Source organism: Homo sapiens, chromosome 16, assembly GCF_000001405.40.
Source record: "Homo sapiens chromosome 16, GRCh38.p14 Primary Assembly".
In the NCBI taxonomy this organism is placed as follows: domain Eukaryota; kingdom Metazoa; phylum Chordata; class Mammalia; order Primates; family Hominidae; genus Homo; species Homo sapiens.
The window spans coordinates 53877692-53899385 of NC_000016.10; the positions used below are offsets into that span (position 1 = coordinate 53877692).

Here is a 21694-nt window from a genome sequence, read left to right on the forward strand (position 1 = left end):
ATTTTATGACGTGAATTATAGCTCAATAAAGCTGTTACCAAAAAAAAAAAACCTATCTCAAACTAGGCCTGATTATAGATTATTTACATAAAACAAAACACTATACATCCAGAAAAAAATTATTCCACATCCCACCCCTCTCTCTTTTTGTTTTCTGCAACCATACGTCATTAAACTAGTTTTCCTATTGTTAAGAAATTTAGGTTGTTTCTAATCTTGCATGAAAATGCAATTAATAACCTATGTAGCTCACTCCATACTTGGGAAAGTAAAGGTGCAAGTAGGGAAACTTTCTAGATAGAAGTCATTTTAAAAAGATGTTGTAGGCTGGGTGCAGTGGCTCATGCCTGTAATCCCAGCACTTTGGGAGGCTGAGGGGGGTGGATCACTTGAGGTCAGGAGTTCGAGACCAGCCTGTCCAATATGGTAAAACCAGTCTCTACTAAAAATACAAAAATTAGCTGGGCGTGGTGGTGCACATCTTTAATCCCAGCTACTTGGGAGGCTGAGGCAGGAGAATTGCTTGAGCCTAGGAGGCAGAGGTTGCGGTGAGCCAAGATCATGCCACGCCACTGTACTCTGGTCTGGGCCAGAGAGTGAGACCCCGTCTCAAAAAAAAAAAGTGTTGTTGTAGAGGTTGCTGTGGGACAAAAATGAGTGGTCATTCACCTTTATTCTTTGTGGGGTTTTTTTTGGCAGGAAATTGGAGCTGCCTGCCCTTATGCACCCAGCACTCTGGGATCTTCATATTAAAATACATTTTAGTCAAGCTTCTGTTTCTTGGCACAGAAACTTTGTTTTTCCCAGGCTTGTTGATGTCGCATTGTATAAAATGGCAGTAAATGTGCAAGGAAATTTTATATCAGAGGATTAGCCTTCAAGGTTATTTACAAGGGCTCAGTTTAAATTATAAATAATAAAACCAAAATATTTTAGGGATACATTTTCCTCATTGGGACTGAAGGGTATTTATAGCTGACTTTTTATTATTCTAGGAAATCATTTTAATATCAAAACAGGCAGATGCACTGCCCATGTGCATTGGCCTCTTTTCCAACATATGATCATTTATAAAAAGGAGTTTGTCCATTTGACCTCTGTTTTGCTCCCACGGACTCAGAGAGGGATGAACTAGTTATCTGTGTCCTTGCTGAGGCCCAGGTACTAAGTTATGCCTTTGAATGTGCCTTGAGGGCTTAAGCCAAATATTCTCCATTATTTGAAGAATCTATTCTGCCAAGGACTGCCACTGCCTAGTGTATGCTTTTTGCAGAAAAGAGAAATGAGTTCTTTGCCTTGTGATTATAACTGCATTTTTCCCCGCTGTCATTATAGAACCATTTATTGTGCTTTTGAACCAGCTTTGCAGCCTGGTTACCTTTCTTTCCTATCTTTAGTCTCAGGGCATTTGAGATAAAAAGTCAGTGTCCTTGACTTCTTGGTTAACCAGTTATTCATCCAATAATTATTTATTAAATTTCTTCCAGTTTTCAGACTCAGTTCTAGATGTTGTAGTATATATAGAAAATGTATTTAACATATATAAATAGGGCGTTAGCCTCCGGGACCCAAATGTTTAGTTAGAGATATGAGGCCCACGTAAAAGAAAACCAGCAAACTAAGTGGCCCAAGTGAGGCCAAACTGGCAGCACAGAGCCCAGTGGAACAGGCCACTCTAGTAATTCTTGAGTTCGTGAGTATAGGCCGGGCACAGTGACTCACACCTGTAATCCCAGCACTTTTGGAGGCTGAAGTGGGAGGACTGCCTGAACCCAGGAGTTTGAGACCAGCTTGGATAATATAGCAAGATCCTGTCTCTCTCTACAAAATAAAAATTTAGAAAAATTAGCTGGGCAGAGTAGTGCCTGCCTGTGGTACCAGCTATTCAGGAAGGTGAGGTGGGAGGATTGCATGAGCCCCAGAGGTTGAGGCTGCAGTGAAACATTATTACACCACTATACTCCAGCTTGGGTGACACAGCAAGACCCTATCTCAAAATTAAAAAAAAAAAAAAAAAAAAAAGGAGTATAGACTGAGCCATGGGGCAACAGGTGAATTCACAGCCAGGGACAAATATGAACAATCCTAGGAAGGATGGTAGAGTAAACTTAGATTTTGCCCATAATTGTGATTGCTGGTTCTGTCTCAACAGTGCTCAACAGGAACCTTGGATTATATTTTACAACGCTGTCAGTTGGCTCTGCAGAATGTCTGTGACGATGTGGACAATGATGATGTCTCTTTGAAATCCTTTGAGCCTGCAGTTTTGAAACAAGGAGAAGAAATTCATAATGAGGTAAGGACTTTCTTTTTTTTTTTTTGAGATGGAGTCTCGCTCTGTCACCCAGGCTGGAGTGCAGCGGCATGACCTCGGCTCACTACAACCTCCATCTCCCAGGTTCAAGTGATCCTCCTGTCTCAAGCTCCCGAATAGGTGGGACTACAGGTGCATGCGCCACCACTCCTGGCTGATTTTGATATTTTTAGTAGAGACGAGGTTTCACCACGTTGGCCAGGCTGGTCTCGAACTCCTGACCTCAAGTGATCTGCCCGCCTCAGCCTCCTGAAGTGCTGGGATTACAGTCATGAGCCACTGTGCCTGGCAAGACTTTCAAGAATTGTGAAAGATCTGAGATTCTACCCTACTTGCAAGCTAACAAGTTAATCTGCCACAATTTCATATTGTTATAAGACGTGAGACTCTTAGGTCACAGATGGAGGACAGGTTATTACGTATATCAATAGCAGTCACCAGAGTCTCCGTATTTTTGTGTTAGTTCACGAACTTATTCTGTTCAGGCTGCAGTAACAAAATTGCATAAACCAAGTTGCTTCTAAACAACAGAAATTTATCCTCACTGTTCTGGAAGGTAGCAAGTTCAAGATCAGATGGCATCAAGTTCAAGATTTGATGTCTGCTGAAGACTTGTTTCGTGATTCATAGATGGCACCCTCTCACTTTCCTTAGACGGTGCAAGGGCCAGGCAAGCTCCCTGTGGTCTCTTTTATAAGGCTACTAAAGTCTTTTATGAAAGCAGAGCTTCGTGATCTCTCACCTCTGAAAAGCCCCACCTCTTAATGCCATTGCCTCGGATGTTAGGATTTCAACATAAGAATTTTGGAGGGACATGGCCGGGTGTGGTGGCTCACGCCTATAATCCCAGCACTTTGGGAGGCTGAGGCAGGCGGATCACGATCAAAAGATCGAGACCATCCTGGCTAACACAGTGAAACCCCGTCTCTACTAAAAAAAAAAAAAAAAAAAAAAAAAATACAAAAAATTAGCTGGGCATGGTGGCGGGTGCCTGTAGTACCAGTTACTCGGGAGGCTGAAGCAGGAGAATGGCATGAACCTGCGAGGCGGAGCTTGCAGTGAGCCAAGATCGCGTGACTGCACTCCAGCCTGGGCAACAGAGTGAGACTCCGTCTCAAAATAAATAAATAAATAAATAAATAAATAAAAATAAAATAAAAAAGAATTTTGGAGGGACATACACATACAGACCATAGCATTCTCCCAGCTTCTGTTTCTATAGGGCAATGCAAAGGAGGCTAGATAACATGTACATATTGAGGAGTTACATTATAGGAGAGGAACCATGAGCTATGGGAACCTAGTCTTTTTCAAAGGATAGTAAGCATGCCTGTCTTTTGCTGTAGGTCAAGACACTGTCTTCATCTTCCAAGCCTATATGCACACCTGCCCTTTGTTCTAGAGGGAGAAACTCTCTCTGTCAAGGTTGTTGCTATGTAAACATCCTTGCAATGAGAGTCTGTAACACAGGACAGTCATTGCTTACTCACAAGACACGCAGAAGCACAAGAGACTCATGAAGAATAGTCTCCCAGCAAAGACTGCTGGGAATTGAGGGTAGGCCCTGGGAGCAAGTGTCACTGCCTTGCTTTTCACTGATGAAATCAGTTGCAATTCTGCAGTCTGTGAGACCAGCAGGTCTGGATCCCATGGGTCAAAGTTTCGCAAACTCTACTTTTCCCACTAATACCCTCTCAATATTTGCTTTATCTTTGGACTACATACATTGTTTAGTTACTTAATATTTTACTTTAAATCAACTCTTTTTTAACATGTATACATTTCTTTAAAAAGGGAGCTTTATATTGCTACTTTAAGTGGAAATCCAGTATCATTAGCCAAAAGAAAAAGTATCCAGAAAAATAGATCCAATGAAAACAGAGTAATGTTATTACATTCCAGCAGATATTCTTGTCTGGAGGAGGCTCTGAGCCTCAAGTTTCCTTTCTTCATGTTAAGAAGGGAGATTAGTGGTAATGGTTGCACAGCTTTATACATTTTCTAATAATTATTGGATTCTGCACTTACAATGTGTGAATTTTATGGCTGATAAATTATACCTCAAAAAAAACCATTAAAAGAAAAAAAGGAGACACTAAAATGTGGTTGAGAACTGAAGTTCATTCACCAATCTGAGACTTTCTTTTTGATATAATAAGAAGGATTGATGGGGAATTTGGAGTTAAAAAATGTTCTCATGCATCCTTTCTATAATTAATTACTGAGCACGTGCCAGACACTCTTCTGGGCGCTTTAGAATATATTGGTAAATAAAATAGACATTCTAGTACAGGGAGATGATGGTAAGTAATACACTTAACACACTGGTAAATTATACAGTATGTTAGAAGTTGATAAGTGCTACAGGAAAAAAAAAAAAAAACAGAGCAAGATGATAGAAATTGAGAGAACTAGAGAGCCTCCCTGTTGAAAAGATGTCCTTTGAGCAGAGAATTGAAGGACATGAGAAACAGCCATGTGGATATCTGGGGAATTGCATTTTGGGCATAAGGAGCAGCCACTGCAAAGGCTGTGTGGTGGGGGAATGCCTGGAGTCCGTGGAACAGTCCAGGAACAGTATGTTTGAGTGAAGGGAGTAAGGCTGCTACTTGTAGGAGAAGAGGTCATAGAGGTAGTTCCATGAGACTGGGGAGCAGCAGATTGTATAGGTCCTTGGAGGCCCTTGTAAGGACAAGGCCTTTCCTTTTTACTCTGCAGGAAATGGGGACCCATTGAAGAGTTTTGAGCAAAAGGAGAAATAATGTCGTCTCCCATGGCAACATATAATATCTTTTCAATGCCTTTATAAGTTATTTAATATCTTGTGAGCTGCTCCACACTTTGTGAAACATTGTCATAATCTCCAGAACCACAGGGGAAGCAATTCTGCCTTTCAGGGGAGTAGTAACCACTTTTGATGCTGAGCTCAAGTCTGACTTGCTGCCCTTCATTGTGCCTGATGGGTGTTCTACTTTCTCTCTTATTAGTCCCTGCTGGAGACATTGCTGATAGCCAGAACTTCAGGAAAGAATACATTTATGGGCCTGATGACCTCCCTGAATTAGAGCAAAGTTATGTCTTTCTCCATATTTATAGTATAGAAATTCTAATCTCAAAATGTAGTTATTTCCTTCGCAAAAAATCTCACAATTTTCAGTGTCAGACTAGCAGAATGGGTGCTTTCTTTAACATGCATATGGGCTGTTGTATTTCCCTATCCTTTCTCATCTCTTGTGACTGACTGTGATGTTTTTTACCATCAATGGATGGGAGAAATCTGTAAAATCACACTGTGTATATAACAGAATATCGTCATCTAAGTCTGTCTGCTTCAGGCTGGGTGCGGTGGCTCACGCGTGTAATCCCAGCACTTTGGGAGGCCGAGGCGGTGGATCACCTGAGGTCAGGAGTTCGAGACCAGCCTGGCCAACATGGTGAAACCCCGTTTCTACTAAAAATACAAAAAGTTAGCCAGGTGTGGTGGCGGGCGCCTGTAATCCCAGCTACTTGGGAGGCTGAGGCAGGAGAATCGCTTGAACCCGGGAGGCAGAAGTTGCAGTGAGCCGAGATTGTGCCATTGCACTCCAGCCTGGGCAACAAGGGCGAAACTCTATCTCAAAAAAAAAAAAACAAAAAAAAAAAAACAAATTTGTCTGCTTCAGAAAGTGACTGGCTGCTTTTGATATTATGTGTTAGGGAGGTGGGGCAGAGATGTACTGTATCAGAAACCTCGGCCCCCTGGGGTTGAATAGAGAGATTGATCTTGAATTTAAATAGCGTGTGTGCCAGTCTTCACCATCCCCCCAATCTCTGATTCTTCAAGGTCATCTCCTTACTTTCACAATTAATTCCATATGTCAGGGCACATTGTCAGATATTGTTCTTTTGCCATACAAGTTGGCCTGGGATTTAGCAGTTGCATGCTCGCTCTCTACTTTGTCCTGTTGTTCAATGAAAGCCCACGTGTCTGTAAGAGTTCTCCCAGTTTCTTTCTTGCTTGCCTCTTTCTGCAAGGCCATGTGTCTTTTCTGGACAAATCACAGGATGAAGCCCTTGGTTTTACATACTGCAAGCTCTCAGTCTGTGTGGGTTGAAAAGTGGTTTGTTTTCCTTGTCTAGGATGGTTTCTAACTAAGCAGTTTCGGAAGTTTGGGCATATGTTTTGGAGTACCTTATGGGAGATAGTTTTTCCAATTTAAGATGCTTAGGAAAGGTTCTTGTTTAATTATAAGCAGAATCTTCTTCCATGTTATTAAATGGCCCACTTTCCTTTTTAAAGATAGTAAAATGTGGAATTCAGCCTCTTCTCTTAGTAAATGTCCCCTAGAAGAATGGAATGTTTGATGGTATTGTTTGGCTCTCATTTTCTTCTGATCAGACCTGTGGCTTCCTTATAACTACTGCAAAAGGGCCTTCATAGGGTATCTCTTTGTAGGCAGAGCCTTACCATGTCTTCCTGGTCTAATTTCTTTCTCAGTGAAGTAACTTCTTTCCGTTATTACAGTGAGACATTAATCCCAAGGGGCGCAGTCACACATCTCATAAGGGAGCTCTATGGCTGACTTGGGACCAAATCAAGAGCCTAAATAAACTTGGTAGAAGAAAAGTAGGTGACGTTTGCTGACCCGTTGGAATGATGGATATGATTTACAACTATATGGTGATAAAGTGGCTCAGAAATATTCTTTTGAAGTCTTATTAGCTTTGCTCTCCAATGCCTAAGTGCCCAATGACTGAAGTCCAGATATGTGGGTTGATTCCATTTCTTTCTCCTCTTCTAGGCTTATTTCCATTAAGTGCATGTTCAAAATCAGGGAGTTTGGTTTGTAAGTATCATGAAAACTTTGAGAGAACCCTGAGAGCTCCTGCAGGTTGTTTCCCTGCTATTGAGGTCTTCAGGGATGTGTCACCCGTGGAATGTTCCTTGGCCCCAAGTCAGCATTTGTCCTCCTGACGGCTTGCCTCTTATTTCTGCTGTGTTAGCTATGAGCATCCTTTGGCGGCCTACAACTCTGGAGAAGGGAGGAAGACCCAACTCCTGTCATGGTTACCACTTCATCAGTCAGTCAATATGGTTAGACATTGATGTTTGTTTGGTTTTTTAGCCCCAAAGTAATAAGGACTCACTGTATTTTGCGTTCTGACTCTTTGGTTTTGTGCAGTGTCCATGCTGTAGCTTTCCTTCCTAATTTCCAGAGTTTATTACCTCAGACTCTGAATCAAGCAGGTGGAGATTTTTTTTGCCTTCTTAATTAAGTTTAAGGAGAGAGTCAGCTACTTCTTTCTCTTGGCAGTGGGGAAACTGGTAAACGTGGCATTTGATTAAAATCCTGTAATAGTTTTTACCCACAACATTGAAATGAAAAAGTCAGGTCATGGAGTTGAATAGAAGGCATGCCAGTGGACTTGATGTCCAGAGATTGTATCTCATGGGCAGTACTTCAACTCATGAATAAAATTGTGTTGGGAGAAGGTCTTCAGTGCTGTTGAACGTTTCTGACTGGCATTAGTGGGAAAGGGTGGGCATGAATTGACAAGGACATTAAAACTTTTCCTGGTCAGAAAATTGGTAAGATTGTGAGATGCTTGAGGACAGGAAGTCCAAAGCCTTGTGGTCTTGTTTAGTATGCATTCTTGACATCTAGCAAGTGCCTAACAGATAGTAGGCAGTAATTGTTTCTGTCTTACAGATGACATAGCTATTCTGTAGTGGTACCCACTTTTGAACTGACTCCAGAACCCATATTCCTTTTTTCTTTTAGAGACATGGCCTCACTGTGTTGCCCAGACTGGAGTTTAGTGGCGCGATCATGGCTCACTGCAGCCTGGACCTCCTGGCTCAAGTGATCCTCCTGCCTCAGCCATCTAAGTAGCTGGGAGCACAGGCGCGTGCCACCACAACCATCTAACTTTGTTTATTTGTTTATTTTGTAGAGATGAGGTCTCACTATGTTGCCCAGGCTAGTTTCAAACTCCTGGGCTCAAGTGATTCTCCTGCCATGGCCTCTTAAAGTGCTGGGATTATAGGTCAGAGCCCTTATTTTTAACCATGATACTATCTGCCTCAAAACATGGTTGGGCATCCAAGGGAAGATGAAGGCATTATTTATTAAAATAGCCAGGGCTCTCTCTTTGCTCTCTTGTCCAATAGCAGAGCCCCTAGATATAGCCTTCTCCTTGCTTCCAAGTTTTAATTTACTGAAATCCAGTTTCTAGTGTACCCTGATAGACTGGATAAACTAATTACATATGATAATCTATTTCCAGAGTCACCATGGTTGGCGAGCCTTATCCATTCTGTCCTCTTCAACAGGCATAACCAGCCCAAAGACTGGAAAATCTTTTAAACCTTTTCAACTCTTTCTAACATAGGGCTTGATGTTTTGCTAACAGGCTCTTTCCATAGTGTGAACAAATTTTATGTGAAATCCATCAAAAAGAACTCATTTTTTTCTTGAAGTAAGTATGTTGTTAAACCAGTATCTTCACAGAAGTTGAACCACACTTGTATTAATTCTTCTTTCAAAGTACTCAAGGTTACATCTGTTAACCACTGTCTTTTAATAGCACAGATAAGTTTTAGCAACTGTTGTTTTAATATTGTCTACATTCCTTTTTTGTTTTGTTTTGTTTTGTTTAAACAACTTTAACTGAAATCAGTCCTACATAGCAAACAAACATTTAGTTAATGTAAACTAAAACCTTTTCATACAACTTGGTATTCTCAGGTTACTTATTTGAGCCATTTCCACCATCGTTAAATCTTCACAAGTTGCTTTTGTTTGCCTCATGAAAGTTCAATATGGATAAACACACAAAAAAATTCTTTGCGGTAACAGGTGAAGATTATAATAGCTCCATGTCTATATATGGAACATGATCACCTTAGCAAAGCCAGACAATCCAGCCTGAAGCTGTGGTGGCTCCACGTTTCTTTAGCGGGCAGTGGTAAAAAGAGTATTTAAGATCGGTAGCATTGTACCTTGATTTTCAAGTTGATGAATGATAGAAGACTTAGAAAATGGATAGAAAACAATTTTATATATTTCCATAGGTTAACTCAGCCTCTCATCTAAATATGTTGGGATTATTTTAGTTGCAAGGGGCAAAACGTTCAACCTGAACTAGCTTAAGTAAGAACAGCTTCAGGAATAGTTCGATCAAGGGTCAGTTGATGTCATCAGGATGTGGTTTTTGTCTTTTCATCTTGCAGCTACCCCTACTATGTTGGCTCCATTCTTCCCATTGCTGGCAAAATAGCTGCAGAGTCTTCTTCCTGTAGTTTCTGATAGTCTTGAGACTCATTCTGATGGGACATATTCCTATTCCTCTCAATCCTAGTTCTGTGACTAGAGAATCTAGTGGGCTGATTGGCTTAGACCTGGGTTGCATATTCCACCCCTGGCATTGGAGCTGGAGCCTCCTCAGACCACATGGGCTGTTTGGGGGAAGGGATGGGTGGGATTTGTCTGGAATAGGAGGACTGCCAAGGTGGCAAACAGTTGAAGTTTACCATAGTAGATTCATCGGAAGGAAAGTCAAGTTACTTGAGTATTTCTGATCTGAAAATCTGAAATCTGAGGTGCTCCAATATTCAAGGCTTTTTGAGCATAAACATGATGCTCAAAGGAAATGTTTATTGGAGCATTTCAGATTTTGGATTTGAAATGCTTGGCCAATAAGTATATAACACAAATATTCTAAAATCAGAAATACTTTTGGTCTCAAGCATTTCAGATAAGAGATATTCAGCTTGTACTAATATGATTGCTACTCTTGTTTTTAACCTATTGTCACCTGCCCTGAGTTGACAAGTGACAATTTGAATGGCTTTGTCGGTTTAATGTATGCCTCCATAATTAGTTTTATATATATAGGTTAAGATTATCACCAGCTCCTCCTGGCCCATGGGTAAGTTATTTTAATTTATTGTAATTTAAGAAACTTATAATTAATATTTCCTAATATATATTGGTGTTTTGCTTGTAATACCAGCCTTAAATAAAGACATTTAATAAAAACGTATTCAGTTTATGCCTTTCCCATCAAACATAGTACAGCCTGCTTTATAATTAGGATCTCAGTATTTGTTGTTGATTGACTTATAGTTTCCTCACATCTGACTAATAAATGTGTTTGAAAACCCCTCTCTGGCGTGAGCTGGGTTGTGTAAGAGAATTTCAGCTTTTTAATTGTTTTATTTTATTTTATTTTGACACAGAGACTCTTGCTCTGTTGCCCAGGCTGGAATGCAGTGGCACAATTATAGCTCACTGCAGCCTCAAACTCCTAGGCTCAGGGAATCCTCTTGCCTCAGCCTCCCAAGCAGCCAGGACGACCAGCACACACCACTGCCAATTTATTTTTAAAAATAAAAATAAATTGGCCAATTTATTATTAAAAATAAAAATAAATTGGCCAATTTATTAGTAGCTTGGCCAATTTATTTTTAATTGTTTTATTAGTAGCTTGGCCAATTTATTTTTAATTGTTTTGTAGAGACAGCATCTTGCAATGTTGCCCAGGCTGGGCTTAAACTCCTGGCCTCAAGAGATCCTCACGTCTCAGCCTGCCAATCTATTAGGATTATAGGCATGAACCAACACGTCTGGCCAGACCTCAGTTTTAAGACTACTCTTTTCTTAGCTTTGCAGATATGCTCTGGAGATGCCAGCTTACACTGGGAACTGGTTAGGCTGACCTTTCTCACCTTTTCTCATCCTATGGCCATCAAGTTACTGGAGGAGAATTAAGAGACGAAGTCATTGTCCTCGCTTGTCTATCACAAGGGTATTAAAACCACCATCTTCTCTTTATGGTCCACAGGTCGAGTTTGAGTGGCTGAGGCAGTTTTGGTTTCAAGGCAATCGATACAGAAAGTGCACTGACTGGTGGTGTCAACCCATGGCTCAACTGGAAGCACTGTGGAAGAAGATGGAGGGTGTGGTAAGTCCATCAGACCTGGGACCGTGTTTTCTGGGCTGCTGTGTTATACAAATCCTCCACTGCCTCATTTGCTTAGGCAAATGTAGATTTAATTATTCCTAATTATCAAGTTAGATTCTTCTTGGTAAGGTGATGGGTATAGCCAGGATTTTGTCAGTACAACCTCAGTTTAGTTCAATAAGCATTTATTGAGTATTTTCTCCTCATAGGGCATGTGCTGGACATATACTATGAAGTGGTGATAAGAGGATAACAATTCGAAAATAATATTTAACATTCATTTGCATTTTTATATGCATCAGGTGCTACTCTGTTTTCTCAGTATTAACTTTAAAAAATTTTTACAGCAATGCTAAGAGGTATAGAAACTTTTCCAGGCCTTAATTTGTGGATGTGAAAACTGAGGGGCAGGGAAATGAAGGGCCTCCCCCAGGGTCACTGAGTAAGTGGCACAGCAAGGTGGAAACTCAGGCAGGCTGGCTCCACAGCTTATGCTCTCAACCACTGTGTCCCAACAGTTGAACAAGGAGAGGGGCACGAATATCACCAGGTATGACATTAGCTAAATTGAAATCTGGTAATAGATGTGAAACGTTAAAAGAAAATCATAGTTCCAGAGGAGGGAGTATTACATTCAGACCACTTGAGCCGGCTGGGATGGTGGTGAAATGGCAGATGTGGTTTTTGGGGCCCTTGGATGCTGAGGAGTATGATGGGATGGGGGATCTGGGGAAGAACATTAGAATCCAGAAACTAAAAACAAGGCCAGAAGTCAGGTGTGACCAGAGCAAGTAGTGCAGATGATGTGGGAGGAAATGTAGCTGGAAGGCAGGTTGAAGCCACATGGAGGTCTTGCATTAAGTCTTAATTTAAATAATAGTAATAATAATAATAATAACAAACACTTACATAATACTTATTAAGTACCAGACATTATTCTAGGTGTTTTCTGTAAAACTTCTTTAACTTTTATGACAACCCACAACATAGGTGTAATATATTCCCCATTTTTCTAACGAGGAGACCAAAACACAAAGGGTTTGTGTAACTTCCTCGAGGTCACCCAGCTAATAGGTGAGGGAGCTGGAATCTGAACTCTAGAAGGCTGCCTCTGGGGTCCTTGCCCTTCACCACCTCACTGTTCTGCCTTCAAACAATTGGATTTGGAATGTAGTAGAAAAGTGGTAAAAGCCTGCAAACTCTGGAGATAGTACCTCTGCACAGAATTTGAAATGTACTGGAAACAATGAACTAATCTGCAAAAATGGATAGCTATTGCTAATCCCTATTTTATTTTTTTAAAGCCATTTTATTGGGGTATGATTGCCCTACAAAAAGCTGTACGTATTTAATGTGTACAACCTGAGTTTAGAGATACATGTACCTTCATGAAACCATCACAGCAGTCTATGCCATAAACCTATCCATCACCTCCAAAAGTTTTCTTCTGTCTTATTTATTATAATTATTATTATTGTGATAAGAACACTTAACATAGGATCTACCCTAATTCCTACTTTATAATAATGAAAATGTCAAGTCACAACTTTGAAGGCCCCAGTTTAAAAGTCTGGATCAGAATCCAAAAGTCCTTGCTTTCCAGACATCTCAAATCTTTAAATCATACCTTTTCATGGATATACGTCTGGGGAAGGAATGTTATAATCCTTTTAATGTATTAATAGTATCACAAAAATTGATTTCTCCAAAGACCTGAATCGATGCAAAACTGAGCATTGTGAAACTGAATTGGAGTTAATGAAAAGTCTGTGCCTAAATCTCCTTAGTCAGTTCTGTTCCTAAACTAAGCCTGTTATGAGTACTCTCCATTTTTATGGGCTGCTTATATAAAGGCAGCTTCAATTTCAGGGCAACATTTTTTCCCCCTACTGTGTAATTCTGATTTTGTCCATTTACATATGAGTTAGAACCTCTTAACTTGATGAACCTTGGCTCTAAGACATCAGCTTGACTTTGAAGTTGTAATTTGACAACTCTGTGAATTAGAGTTGAAGAGCAAATAAGAAAGGAGCTCTTATTGATTTTTTTTTTTTTTTGAGACGGAGTCTTGCTCTGTTGCCCAGGCTGGAGTGCGATGGCGCGATCTCAGCTCACTGCAACCTCCGCCTCCCGAGTTCAAGTGATTCTCCTGCCTCAGCCTCCCTAGTAGCTGGGATAACAGGGGCCCGCCACCATGCCTGGCTAATTTTGGTATTTTTTAGTAGAGATGGGGTTTCACCATGTTGGCCAGGCTGGTCTCCAACTCCTGACCTCAGGTGATCCACCTGCCTCAGCCTCCCAGAGTGTTGGGATTACAGGCGTGAACCACCATGCCTAGCCCTTGATTTTGTTTTTTAAAAACCAAATTAAAAAAAAATTGTTTTTGTTCAAGAGCTTTTTTTTTTTTATTTTTTTTAAGTAAAATCTGGCCCAGCATGGTGGCTAATGCCTGTCTTCTCAGCACTTTGGGAAGCCAAGTTGGGAGGATTGCTTGATCCCAGGAGTTTGAGACTAGCCTGGGCAACATAGTGAGACTTTGTCTCTACTAAATTAAAAAAAATTATCCATGTGTGGTGGTGCATGTCTATGGTCTGAGCTACTTGGGAAGCTGAGGTGGGAGGATCATTGGAGCCCAGGAGTTCAAGGCTACAGTGAGCTGTGATCGCGTTACTGCACTCTAGCCTGGGTGACAGAGTGAGACCTTGTCTCACGTACACACACACAAATAAAAAATAAAATATTTGGTATTGTGAGCTTACAAGTGATATTCATTATGAATTCATTTAAGGAATTTAGTTATATCTATGTAAATTTGTGTATAAATAATTTGAAGGTGGTGGCACATGCGTTAAGAGGAAATATCTGTTATTTGTTTTGTCGCTCTTGTATAAAAAATACTAAAAGGAAAAGCAATTCTGCGAACTCTCTGGTGCTGGTTTCCCAGAAGTTGGCGTGTCATTTCTAAGTGTTCTGAGGGAGATCAGTGGCCTCAGTGTCTCTCCTCAGCGTGTCTTGGGATGATCTTTATCAGCAGAGTGAAGATTTAGGTCCAGATAAAAGGGATGTTTCTTCCAAATTAAATGTAAGCATTGCTTCAAGCCTTTTACAGTGACTTTTTACAAATTCATAGTGATTTCTTTTTTCTATTGGACAAGACAGAACAGAATAATTGTTGGATGAATCTACGGTTCTGTGGTTCTGTTCGTTTAGTACCATCTGGTATTTGTATACTCGGGTGGAATTGGCAGTGGCTGGTTAGATTTCTACTTGGTACCAGCCCACCTCATATTTTCTCAGTTGCAAGCAGTAGGGGGCAATGTTGAGCTACCAGATTGAGGCCCCAAGATGTTAGCCTTTCAGGAAAACGCATACAAAAATACCATTAACTGTCAAGAATTATCCCTGTTGCTTCAAGTTAGCTGTAATCTCCAAGATTCCATAGCACAGGATATCAGTTGTGGGTTAACAAATTCAACAGCAATTTAACATAAAAAGTACAGTGTTTGGTGCACATTTGGATTCTATAGCATTAGACTAATCCAAATGGAATTTCTGAGTGTCCTCACTTTGCTTCCAGGGACTATCTTACTCAAAATTATTATCATTTTAGACAAATGATTCTTTTTTATCTTTATACTTTTTTTTGAATTGTAAAATCGTGCGTGTTGTGGAAGGATTTCTTTAAATCAATGCATTTTGTCTGTTCTGCAAAATAACATCGATCTCTTTTGCTGAGAAAATAAAAAACCTCAGGGAATATGTGCATTACTTTTCCCCTTTTGCTTATGAGTAAAGCAACCTTTATCGGCCCTCGTACCAGGGAAGAGACTTGCGCTGTGATTTCTGTCTTTGTGCTCTTTTTTCACTTTGTGGCTGCAAGGTGTAGTCTCAGGAAGGATATAGAAGAATGGAAAATGAGCTTTGAAATCGCTTTTCTTCCATTAATGGTAATTGCTTCACATGTCATAACCAGTCACATATTTCAAAAAGTTTAGTCAGCTGTCTCTAAAACTCCCCCATCCTCCACTTCCCATTTCCTGTCCCAGAAAACACCATTTTTATCACACTGTTTATTCTTGCCATTTTTTCTCCCAGCGGATAGTTTTACTCCATCCATGCTCTTGTGATGTAAATGTTAAACCTTATATTTGAATGACATTCTGATAAAATATCACATTTTCCCTGAATATTACCTCATGAATTTATGAGCCATTAAGCCCAAAGCAACATAACCCTTTCTTATAACCCAGGAATTTAGTCTGGCCTTTCCCCTCCTCTTTGCTCCCTATTGAGGATGGCATTATAACACTATAATACTATTCAAATATTTGTTTTTTATTTTAATTTTTTTAAAACCCGATGCACTTCCTACCCCCACCGCCCCTGCCATCCAAGATGATTGTATTATGAGAAGACTCTTCAGGATAAGAGAGAGTTACCATTTGAAAGAAACTGTACAGCTGCTTTGCTTTCTGGGTAAAGAGAAATATGAAAAGCTGAAGTCTCCTGTGAGGTGGGCAAGTCTTGCTGTAGCCAGAGATTCAATGGATAGGCCATTTGTCTCTCAGGGTCTGGTATCGCTCTTTGCAAAACTGACATTTATTTTACCTATAAAAATGTTTTAACACTATCAAATTCACAATGATACAGAAAAGAATGCTAGGTGCGAAATCCTCTAAATTGATGACATTTATTCATTTCCTATTGACCTTAAAAAAAAAAAAGGTCAATTTGGTATAATCCAGTGGAAATATTCGACAATCGTTTCCAGAGTAAACATTTTCGAAAGTAGTGATGATTTCGATACTGGAGAGAAATTCTTCTTGCTGTTTTCCTTGGTTTTTTCTTTTAGAATAAAAAGTAGATCCTGATGGTTTTGAATGTTTTGAATTGCGTTTCCTGTTCTGACAATTCCTTGTGCTGTTATAGCAATGCATTTATATGGCAGTTGGCCTTAATAACCTTTATTGACTTTAGTGGGTAGGAGCCAAGACTGGATTATTTTAATGTATCCGTTTGGAAACAGTGTAAAACACAACATATAATTATGTTAGGTAAGCTATAGGCTACATTTAATTCTATCCATTTATGTTAAAATTTGGCACAGGAGAGCAGAGACATGTGGAAAATGAGTAGGTGTTTTATTTAATAATGTAACCAGTTTCTTGTTGTTAAAGTTTTAAGAGAGAAATGTACTTAAGAAGGTAAAGGTTGTGCCTGACAAGTTAGTTATAATAGTTTAATTTTAAGATGAGTCATGCCTTTTCCCCTGCTATTTTGGCCTATGTAAATCATCTGGGAAGGCCCTTGCCAGGAGCCTGCCCATGGCTGTGTGGATGAGTCTTCCTCAGCATAGGTTACACTTCATGTAGTTTACATAGTCATAGGGAATGACTGAGCCGAGCAGTAGTTTGTTTATTTTTGGAGAGATTAATGAAGTTCTCATCACAGTGCTTTAGATTAAATTCTTTAAAACTGAATACAGGAACAAGGCTGCTTTTTCATTTACTGAAATTTTTACTGAGTATACTGGTATTTGCTATTGTATTATAGTTCAATTAGCTAAGTTTATTTTAAACTTCCTTCTAGGATTGAAGATTTTTGGGGATGTGCAGAAGAAAGTGATGGAAATATAAATATCGAATTTTTTTGTTTGCATTAATGGGAAAGTCACCAATTTTTGTGTGTGTGTGTGTGTATAATTTTTTTCACCCTTCTTTTCAGTGTTAATGTGCACATTAAGTTACATCAGCCAACATAATCCAGTCTCCCATTTTTCAGGGTTAGCATTTCTGATTTAAGAGCAGAGTATATTATAGTAATTTAGGATCAGATGTGAGATGTCTAGTGGTTTTAAATTAAAATGTAAATTCTCTTTTTTGACTGGGGCAGTGCTGAGTGACTCAAGATAAGCACAGATTAGAGGTGGATAAAGAGTCATAAGCATCCAAAAATTCAGTTTCTGAAACTGGTGTGCAGGCACTGAGTTTTAGGACCTTTACGTTTAGCTTTGAAAATCTGGAAAAACGAAAAAGTCACTTGCAGCTGGAGCAGCTTAAAATCTTTGGTTTAAATCTTTGGTTTTTGGTTATCTTAAAGGTGTTCAGGGAAGCTCGGTTCTTTCCATTCTCCTTCCTACCCACCCACTCTAATTCCCCACCCACTCCAATTCCCCACAGCTATATTGTTCTATTAAAAGTAAAACATCTGGGGAGAAATTTTACATGTAATTTAGCAGTGAATTTCTTATAAGTTTTTATTCCTTTTTTGATTATCTTATGAATTTCAGAGTTTTCCATTTTTTTCCCTGAGTGTCTGTACCTTTAGTAAGGAATTTTACAAGAAAGTGTTGTGTATCCTGTCTTTTTGGGAAAAAAGAATATACAATTCCAAGAGAATTCAGGCTTAAGCCTCAAAAACACAGTGTGCTTCGAAAGCACAAAGGACTGTGTTTATGATTCTCTTTGAAGTGTTTTTGCAACTGGATAAGGAAAATTTTAGAAACCGTCTGATAGTGTTCAGGGTAAATACTTAAACCCCTTTAGAGAATTTCACACACAGATACTGTGCAGCAGAAAAAAGGGATACTTATGTTTCTTAAAGCTGCTACAGCCTACAGCTTTGTACTTAAAGACAGAGGTGTTGAATAGAATTCTACTGAGGATACATCCAGTGACAGTATCTCCAGGAACATCAGAGCAAACCAGTGGGTAGGACTTTCTGTTTTTAACCCTTACATGAGCTGTGTGAGAGTTGAGCTTTACTGGTACCAAGTCCTAGGATGTGCCTGGTACATCTCAGGAATGTTAAGAGGATCGTTCCTAGTGCCTCTGCTCTGCACACAATAGGAACAACACTAAAAATGCTGAAGATGCTGAGACAAAGTGACAGGAGCTAGGAAATTCCAAGTGACAGCCTTGCCATCTCTCTTAACTCTTAGTGTGTGGAGAGAAAAACTGGAGTAAACAGCCAGGGTTTGTGTTTTAACCTTGTTTCTGTAGGATTTGGCTAAATTTTGACAACCTTCGTTAAATATACACACGCACATGTGCACACACACACATACACACATTTCACACATTCTATATGTAAAGAAAAAAAAGATGAATTCTGCTGCTTTAAATAGTTTTAACCACCCTGAAATTCAAATTGATGTAAAGGTGTGAAGATCCTGCTATTTTCCCTGGGGTGCTATTTTAGCCTTGGCTGCTAGAATTCATTTTGGATTGCTTTGACTAGCAGACTATCATAGCATTTCAGATATGAATTAAGAAACCCTGGTGCAAGATTGGAATGTCAGAAATTTCTCTTTTTCCTGGAAAAGATATAACATAAAACAAATTATGTAACTTATTTCATCTAGGGTTTTTTTTTTTTTGTGGGGAGCATGGTAGAGGGATTAAATTCAGCTCTAGTCTGTTATTTACTTTATTATAATTACCTCTGAAATATCCTAGAAGAATCTCAGTCTAGAAGAATGAAGTAGTGTACAAAATAATAATAATAATCACCAGACCTACAGATTTGAAAGGAAAACAAGATTTCCAAAGGATGTCGTGCCATTTATTTGGAATATTATCAAGATGTTAGAATCTTTTTCCCCCAAGTTGGTTAATGAATAATCACTAAAACTGTTGCCTCTTGAAAAATATTGTTATGATGATCCAATGAGAAAGTTTGTAAAATATAAAACATACATAAATGCAAGGTATCACCAGTATTGATTTTAAAAGGAAGCGTGGAGAGTCTTCAACTGAGGAATCCTTACTTCGAGGCCGGTTGACCGAGTCTTCCTTATTGACAGCATCCCTTTCCTTTCCTAATTTTCCTTCCTCTGGAGCTGGGGTTCAGTCCAGGAGCTAAAGGGACTCACAACAATTTGGAACTCAGCGCTCCTCTTGCAATGCGTCTATCCACTGTGGGTTAAATACTTTGAGAGGCTGGGCTGGGAATCTTTCCATATTGTACAGAAATGTCTCTATGGAGAAATGTACTCCCAGTGCCAAAAAATGACTTACAGAGAGCCCCGGGAACACATTAAGTTGGCCCTTCCGTGCCTTATGGTAACATAACCACCATCCTGCTCCCTCCTCATTGACATCTGCAAAATAATGACCCTTTTTTAACCAAAGGGAACTGTGATCTATTTTTTTTCTGTATTCCTGAAAGGATCTCTGTGATTATTTGTAGATGATATTTTTAATAGCATGTTTTCCCTAACAAGTTAAATGTGATTGACATTTTTTTTTGCATTTTCTTTGCATGATCTCAGTCCATCTGGAACCACCTGTGACAGTCTCAATTGTAAATTTTTCCTTCATATGTATAAAAATCTCAGGCAGATCATCTCCTACTTGTTTCTTTTAATACCGCTCAATAAATCTCCTACTTGTTTTTGATTGACAAAATTAGCTTTCAACTAAAAATCTGGAGTCTTCGGGCACTATTCATAATTAAATTTTAATGTTTTAGACATATCTGCATAGCCATATCTGCATTGGTTATAAAGACTTAGAGCTGGTGGTAGCTTGAGCATATATAGCCCTCTTATTAAATATTATTAATTGAAATGACAAATTATGAAATATCCAGAATTATGCGTCAGATGTTCTTTAACAGATGTTGGGGGATTAAGAGGTTTCAAATTTTACTTGATGACATAAACTTTTCATGCAGTTAGCAGTGACATTTTTTAAAGGATGGGAGTGGTGGCATATACCAATGCTTGTAATACATTAATATGTTCTTGATACTGAAGTCTCATGTCCTGGATACCTGAACATTGTTTGGGAAGGGTGGGCAGTATTCAGCCATCCAGTAATAAATATCTCAAAGGTACCAAATCCAAAACCCAAGTTTTGATTTCTGTAGTCCCTAGTGTTTCACAGTTCAGTAATTTGAACTGTCCAGTTGCCCAGACTAAAACCTTGGAGTCTTCTTGATGTATCTCTTGATTTATCAGTGAATCCAGTTAGCTCTACTTTCAAAATATACTCATGACCTGACTACCCTTCACTACCTCCTGTGCTACCACCTTGGTAAAAACTACCATCGTTTATAAAATAGCCTCTCAACCAGCTTTCCTGCTTCTACTACCCTATGTCCATCCCAGTCAGAATGTTCCTTTGAGATACAAGTCAGGTCGTCGTTTCACTCCCCTGTTTCAAACCTACTATCATGTTTAGAAATCCACCTTCCTTGCAGTGGCCTAATGCCCTGCAGGATCTGTCCATTCCTCGACCTCCATCAGTGCTCCCCCTCTTTCCCTCCCCTAATGTCTGCCTTACTATGTCTAGAACATGCCCAGCCCACTCTTGCCCAGGATTTTTGCATGTGCCGCTGCCTTTGTCTGGAATGTCTGTCCTTCTGTAATTTACATGACTCTCTCCCTCATTTCATTCAGATCTCTGCTCATGTCACTTTCTTGGAGAGAGTTGCTCTGACCAAGCACTCTCTCATTGTAGCAGGGCCTTACTCTTTTCTACTGTACTCTTAACACTTTCCACCAACTGCAATTATCCTATATATCCATTTGTTGTCTGCCTCTACCTGAAATAATCTCCATGAGGGCAGCAGGGACTTGGTCTGTTTTAGTCACTCTTATTTCCCCAGCCTCTAGAACAGCATCTACTGCATAGGAGGTACTCGACACATGTTTGTTAAAAGAAAGAGTTCACGTGAGGTCTGTGTTCTAGTCCTGCCTTTTCCTCCCACCCATGTTGATCAGTGTGGCCTTAAATCTTTTTTTGGGACGGTCTTACTCTGTTGCCTAGGCTAGAGTACAGTGGTGTGATCATAGCTCACTGTAGCCTCAAACTCCTGGGCTCAAGTGATTTGCCCACCTCAGCCTCCTGAGTTGCTGGAACTACAAGCCATCATGCCTGACTAATTTATTTTTATTTTTGCAGAGACAGGTTCTTGCTGTGTTGACCAGGCTGGTCTTGAACTCCTGGCCTTAAGTCATCCTCTCACCTTGGCCTCACAGAGTGCTGGGATTACAGGTGTGAATAACAGCACCTGGCCAATAAATTCTTTTTAACTTTATACATTTTCCTAAAATATTACCTCTTATTACCTGCTTCACAGGAATATTTTTGGGTTAGTTTTATTCTTAAACAAACATAACTCTCACAATAATACCCCAAAACGTCTTTAACTTCTTTTTAAAAACAAAATAATACTGAGGGCACAGAGGACAGTCTTGTTTTATGCCTCTGGCATTTATAGCTGAGAAGATTGAGCAATCACAGGCAAACAACTTATGCAAATATGGAAAATCTTTTTTTTTTTTTAATGAGAGGCTTAAGTAGGTTATTAGTTTCCCAGAGTACCAGTGTTGCTAAAAGTTAGAATCATAGTGTTTTGTCTTATTTGTGATCATCCTTCATATTTTAGATTTCCCTCTTCTGGAAAAACTTAGTAAATTGTCACAAA

The 21694-nt window shown here is 39.6% G+C and overlaps 1 protein-coding gene across 24 annotated transcripts in view, besides 1 other annotated feature; it reads left to right on the forward strand.

Annotated features, from left to right (window-relative positions):
- The window catches only part of FTO (FTO alpha-ketoglutarate dependent dioxygenase), a 417979-nt gene that overhangs the window by 173729 nt on the left and 222556 nt on the right, over positions 1 to 21694 (forward strand). For 21 of the 24 annotated variants that reach the window (XM_047434606.1, XM_011523314.4, XM_011523316.4 and 18 more), the window contains 2 exons: positions 2153 to 2296; positions 11141 to 11260. The exons of 1 other annotated variant lie outside the window; for it this stretch is intronic. In XM_047434606.1, the coding sequence (XP_047290562.1) occupies positions 2153 to 2296; positions 11141 to 11260 (264 nt within the window). The remainder of the gene's footprint in view (positions 1 to 2152; positions 2297 to 11140; positions 11261 to 21694) is intronic. 2 more of the 24 variants (NM_001363898.2, NM_001363900.2) reach the window with 1 other exon arrangement.
- Positions 3786 to 4080: an enhancer, noted in NCBI's record as "tiled region #10092; HepG2 Activating DNase matched - State 5:Enh, and K562 Activating non-DNase unmatched - State 11:FaireW". NCBI's record gives its function as "activates a minimal TATA promoter and a strong SV40 promoter by Sharpr-MPRA in HepG2 and K562 cells {active_cell/tissue: HepG2 | K562}" and the evidence as "EXISTENCE:reporter gene assay evidence [ECO:0000049][PMID:27701403]".